This window comes from Homo sapiens, chromosome 1, assembly GCF_000001405.40.
Source record: "Homo sapiens chromosome 1, GRCh38.p14 Primary Assembly".
In the NCBI taxonomy this organism is placed as follows: Eukaryota; Metazoa; Chordata; class Mammalia; order Primates; family Hominidae; genus Homo; species Homo sapiens.
In genome coordinates this window covers 163,906,451-163,912,584 of record NC_000001.11, presented here as the reverse complement: position 1 = coordinate 163,912,584, position 6,134 = coordinate 163,906,451, and the positions used below count along the sequence as shown (strand labels likewise).

The following is a 6,134-nucleotide window of genomic DNA, read 5'->3' as shown; positions in this document are numbered from 1 at the left end:
CCGGAGAAGCCAGTAAGTGGTTCAAAAATAATTATGTGCACAGGAGGATAAAAAGACACATAGTGGTGTTGCTTTTCAATCATCAGTGTTGTTCCTGCCAAATTTGTTGTCAGTATATGAATGCATGTAGAATGGATTTCTGTGTGCTCAAAACAACATGGAAGCATAGCACAGAAGATGAGAAAATGTAACAGGGAATGCTCACATCCATGAATATTGACTCAGAGAAGAATTGCAAAAAGAGCACCATCACGTAGAAAATGAATGTGAATATATTCTCCATGGAGAACCATGCCTCCCCTACACTGCCACAAAAAGCAGATTTACACTTTTTCATATATCAAGTTTTCTTTTTAGGTTTTTGGTCGTTGTTTTTTTTTTCCTTTTAAAATTGTTTCCCCCCTATTTAAATTGTCAGTATTAATTTTTTACAATTTGCTATGTTATTTATTTTATCTTCATATCATTTTTAATATTGGCAGTATTAATTATGTAAAGACTTTTAGAGATCTAATTGTTTATGCACTTTTTGCAAATTTGACTTCACAAAGGTGTGTTGTCACACCGGCTTTGTGTGTAAGCATTGTGCATATGTGTAGAAATGTTGAAATGTCCTCAATAAATGAAGAGATGTCCTTTTTGGACATCTGCATTTGTGAAGGATGAGACTTCTCAAGATGTTGGCTCTTTGGGTGACTGCATATGTGGTGGCGACCAATTATGGTTTTTGATCAGTCTCATCAAATGGCTTAGGTTGTTGGTCATGGTATTTCAGATGATGGTAGTTATATAAACTATTTCTTTATTAGTACTATTTGTCTGCTCATAACTGTTTTACCCATGTGACTGCATTAGTATACATGAGAGTATGTGTTTGCAAAAATATGTATGTTATAGTTGCCCATTTCATTGATTAGAGTGCCCTATGAAGTGTTCTGTCATGTTTTTATAAGTTTCTCAAATAAATTTCCATTTTAAAAATATAAATAAATATATTTTAAGAAATTTTGAAATAATTTTTCCAGAATTATATTTTCAGGACTTTGATCTTCTGGAATTACAACATTAAGGATTGTGATGTTTGGGATTGGATTTTTAAAATTAGATTTTTGAAGTATATTCATAGATATATGCAAATATCACCACAGTAAATTTTAGAATATTTTCATCATCTCTCCCAAAATTCTAGCATGCTTTACCTATCATACAAACCCTTCACCCCTCAGCTGACTCCCACCCTCACCCCCAGCCCTAGGCAACTATTAATCTACTTTATGTCTCTATAAATGTCCTGGTTCTAAACATTTCATGTTAATGGAATTATATAATAGATAGTCTTTTGTGACTTTGCTCTTTTATTTAGCATGATGTTTTCAAGATTTGTCCAAGTTGCAGCATGTATCATTACTTCATTTCTTTTTATGGCTAAATAATATTTCAGTATGTGGATATATCACATTTTGTTTATTTATCAGTTGATAGGTGTTTCCACCTTTTGGTTTAAGATGAATAACGCTTTTATGAAATACTCATTTACAAGTTTCTGTGTAGACTATGTCCTTTGGTGGGTATATGCCTAGGTGTAGAATTACTGGGTTATATGATAACTCTATGTTTAATCATTTGAGGAACTGTCAGCTTGTTTTTCAAAGAAGCTGTACTACTTTACATTCTCACCAGTAGAGTGTAAGCATTCAAATTTCTCCACATTCTTGCCAACACCTTTTATTCTAGTCACCTACTGGGTGTGAAATGGTATCTCGTTGTGGTGTTTGTTTGTTCGTTTGTTTGTTTGTTTTGAAATGGACTCTTGCTGTGTCTCCCAGTCTGGAGTGCAGTGGTGCAATCTTCACTCTCTGCAACCTCTGCCTCCTGGGTTCCAGCTATTCTCCCATCTCTCCTGAGTAGCTGGGATTACAGGTGTGCACCACCATGCCTGGCTAATTTTTTTTTTGTTTGAGACGGAGTCTCGCTCTGTCGCCCAGGCTGGAGTACAGTGGCGCGATCTCGGCTCACTGCAAGCTCTGCCTCCCAGGTTCACGCCATTCTCCTGCCTCAGCCTCCCGAGTAGCTGGGACTACAGGCACCTGCCACCACGCCTGGCTAATTTTTTGTATTTTTAGTAGAGACGGGGTTTCACCGTGGTCTCAATCTCCTGACCTCGTGATCCGCCCGCCTCGGCCTCCCAACCCTGGCTAATTTTTTGTAGTTTTAGTAGAGAGGTGGTTTCACCATGTTGGCCATGCTGGTCTCGAACTCCTGACTGCAAGTGACCCACTCGCCTCGGCCTCCAAAAGTGCTGGAATTACAGGTGTGAGCCACCACGCCCAGCCTCATTGTGGTTTTAATTTGTATTTTCCTGATGATTAATGTTGTTGAGCTTCTTGAAGAAACATTTATTCATCTGATTTACCCATGTTTGATTTGGTTGTCTTTTTATTATTGAGTAGTAAGAATTCTTTACATATTTTGGATACAAGTCACATACAAGATACATGATGTGCCAATATTTTATCTCATTTCTCTGGTTGTCTTTTCACTTTTTTGTGGTGTCCTTTGAAGTAGAAAAGTTTTCCACTTTGGTGAAGTCTGATTTCCTATTTTTTTGTTGTTATTGTTATTGTCATTGCATAAGCTTTTAGTGTCATACCTAAGAATCCTTTGCAAAACCCAAGGTCATGAAGGTTTACCTCTTTGTTTTCTACTAAGAGTTTTAAAGTTTTCACTTTTACACTTAGGTCTTTGATCAATTTTGTATACATTTCTATATGTGGCGTGAGGTAAGCACTGTTTGCATGTGGCTATGCAGTTATCCCAGCACTTTTTGTAAAAAAGAACTATTATTTCTTCATTGGATGGTTTAGAATCCTTGACTAAAATAAGCTGATTATAGGTAAATGGCTTTATTTCTTGAATCTCTATTCTATCCCATTAATTTCCATTAATTTATATGCCTATTCTTTCTCCAGTGGTAGAGTGTCTTGATTATAGTTGCTTTGTAATCATTTTACAAATAGGAAGGCATGGTAACTTCTGGTTGCAAAATGATGGCATAGAAGCAAGCTGGCTTTACTCTTCCAACAGAAAATCAAAAATAAATATATACAATGCCAAAATTGTCTCCATCAATATCACAGAAATAAAACATGAAGATAAGACAGTTCTCAGGGCCACAGAGAAATGAAACAAACAAACAAACAAAAAAATCCCACAAAAATCCAAGCTGATGGTAAGAGAATTAGACTTCCACACCCATGAAACTATTTCCTCCCAATCTATCCAGCATTAAGTGTGCTGAAAATCCTCCTTCTCCAACTCACAGTTTCTACATTGGAAAAGGCGAGCAAGGTAGACAAACAGCTGTCCTACAATCTTGAGTTCACTGGTGAAAGATTGGTTTCTGCCTCAACCTATGGGAAGCTCAGAGATGCCTAGAGGGAGAAATATTCTTAAGGACAGCCAGAGACAAACGAAGGAGGTGAGACCATCATCTCCAGCACTGGAAACTCTGCTCTGAAACTTGGTCATAGGAGACATGAATCAGAGCGGCTTCTCAGCAGCACTGTACTGTAAGAGGTTTGTTCTACAGGTCTCCTGGGCACAAATTCCCAGTCAGACTTCCTATACTCTAAGATATCCTATTTGGGACCTCCCTTACTCAGAATAAGAAGCATTCTGATTGTTTACTAGAACCAAGACAAACCTGGGCTAGAGGCATCATCTGGTGCCAAAAAAAAAAAAAAAAAAAAAAAGGCAGCAACCCATTGGGTGAGGGGGAGAAGAAAGAAAATCAACAGGTAAATTACAAAAACATTTAAACAAACACATCCAAAAAAAAGAAACAAACAAACAAGACAGAAAAGACTGGAATAAATAACTAATCCTTCAATGCAAAGACATAGATATACCTCCAGAAGAAACAGAATACAGGGAATCATAACCTTCTCCAACAGACAAAGCAAGAAACCAGTCACTGACCCTAAAGAGATGTTGATATGTGAACTCTCTACACAAAAAATCAAAATTGCAGTTTTAAGGAAACTATGATCTATAAGATAACATATCAAAGCAATTTAGAGGTTTATTAGAGAAATTTAACAAAGATATTGAAATAATGAATCAAATAGAAATCTTGGACCTGAGAAATACATTTGCAGAACTGAAAAACTCATTAAAGGTTCTCAACAGCAGAATGGATAAAACAGGAAATAACTGGTAAGATTAAAGATAGTCTATTTGAAGATACACAGTCAGAAGAGGAAAAAAATAGTGAATGCATAGAAATGAAGATCATCTATGAGATACAGAAAATTACCTCAAAAGACCAAATCTAAGAATCATTTGTGTTCAAGAGGAAGTTGAGTAAGATTAAGACATAGAAAGTTCATTGAAATAAATAATAACAGAAAACTTTCCAAAACTTAAGCTATAACCAGGCACAGGAAGGTCAGAGAACACCAACCAGATTTGATGCAAGTAAGACTACCACTAAAACATAAAACAATCAAACTCTCACAGGTCAAGGACAAAGAGAGGATCCTAAAAGCAGTCAGAGGAAAGAAGCACATAACGTATAAAGGAGCTGGCAACAGACTTCTCAGTGAAAACCTTACATGCCAGAAGGGAGTGAACAACATTTTTGAAGTGTATAAAGCTATTCAAGAATACTACATTCAGCAAAAATATCTTTCAGATATAAAGGAGAGATAAAGTCTTTTCCAGACAAACAAAAGCTCAAAGAATCCACCACCACCAAATCCAGCTTATAATAAATGATAAAGGGAGTTCTTTAATCTGAAAGAAAAAAACACTAATATGCAAAAAGAAAATATGTGTGAAGGCCCAAAACCAACAAGCAAAATTAAGTATAAGGAAAAACCCAGAAAACTCTAACACTAAAATTGTGGTGTGCAATACAATCATAGCTCTAGCATAAAATCCAAAAAGCAAATCTATGAAAAACAAAAGTAGTAATGCCTACAGCAACCTGTTAAAAAAATAGGCTATATTAAAATATGTAAATTGAGAGAACATAAAGTCAAAATGTAAGGAGGGATAGAGTTAAAGTGTAGACGCTTTTTTTTTTTTTAATTGTTTTTTGAGAGACTTGTTGCCCAGACTGGAGTGCAATGGCACTATCTCAGCTCACTGCAACCTCCACCTCCCGGGTTCAAGTGATTCTCCTGCCTCAGCCTCCTGAGTAGCTGGGATTGCAGGCATGCACAACCATGCCCAGCTAATTTCTGTATTTTAGAAGAGAGGGGGTTTCGCCATGTTGGCCAGGCTGGTCTCAAACTCCTTACCTCAGGTGATCCTCCTGCCTCGGCCTCCCAAAGTGCTGGGATTACAGGCATGAGCCACTGTGCCCAGCTGTGCAGATGCTTTTAAAATTTTTTTTCTTTGTTTCTGTTGTTTTCTTTGTGATATAAGTTGTCATCTCTTTAAAATTGTTATATCTAGAAGATTTTTTGTAAGCCTCGTGGTAACCGCAATGTAAAATATATATTTTTAGTGAAATATGTTCACTAAAAATAAAAAGCAACAAAGTTAAACATACTACCGGAGAAAATTACTTAATCACAAAGGAAGATAGTAAGAAGGGAAGAAAGAAAGAGTTACAAGATAATAAAGGAAGAAACAAACAACAAAATGGCAGTAGTAAATCCTTATTTATCAACAATAACACTGAATGTAAATTTACTCAATTATCTAATTAAAGGCATAGAGCGGCTGAATCAATAAATAAACAAGACCCAACTATATGCAGGCTATAAGAAACCTACTTCACCTATAAAGACTCACATAATCTGAAAGTGAAGAGATTTAAAATGATATTTCATGTAATGGAAACAAAAAAAAAGAGCAGGAGCAGATATACTTATATCAGATGAAATAGACTACAAATCAAAGACTGTAAAAAGAGACAAAGAAGATCACTGTATAATGATAAAGGAGTCAATTCAGTAAGAGGTTTTAACAATTATAAATATCTGTGCACCCAACACCAGAGCTCCCAAGTATTAAAGCAAACATTAATAAATACAAAGGGAGAGATGAACTGCAATACAATTAATAGTATAGGGGACTTTAACACCCCACTCTCAGTAAGAGACAGATCATCCAGACAGAAAATC

At 36.0% G+C, this 6,134-nt stretch overlaps 2 annotated features.

Annotated features, from left to right (window-relative positions):
• Nucleotides 1,477–2,011: an enhancer, noted in NCBI's record as "NANOG-H3K4me1 hESC enhancer chr1:163879811-163880345 (GRCh37/hg19 assembly coordinates)". NCBI's record gives its function as "activates a minimal SCP1, AML or CMV promoter by ChIP-STARR-seq in naive H9 embryonic stem cells {active_cell/tissue: H9 hESC(naive)}" and the evidence as "EXISTENCE:reporter gene assay evidence [ECO:0000049][PMID:30033119]".
• Nucleotides 2,012–2,548: an enhancer, noted in NCBI's record as "H3K4me1 hESC enhancer chr1:163879274-163879810 (GRCh37/hg19 assembly coordinates)". NCBI's record gives its function as "activates a minimal SCP1, AML or CMV promoter by ChIP-STARR-seq in naive H9 embryonic stem cells {active_cell/tissue: H9 hESC(naive)}" and the evidence as "EXISTENCE:reporter gene assay evidence [ECO:0000049][PMID:30033119]".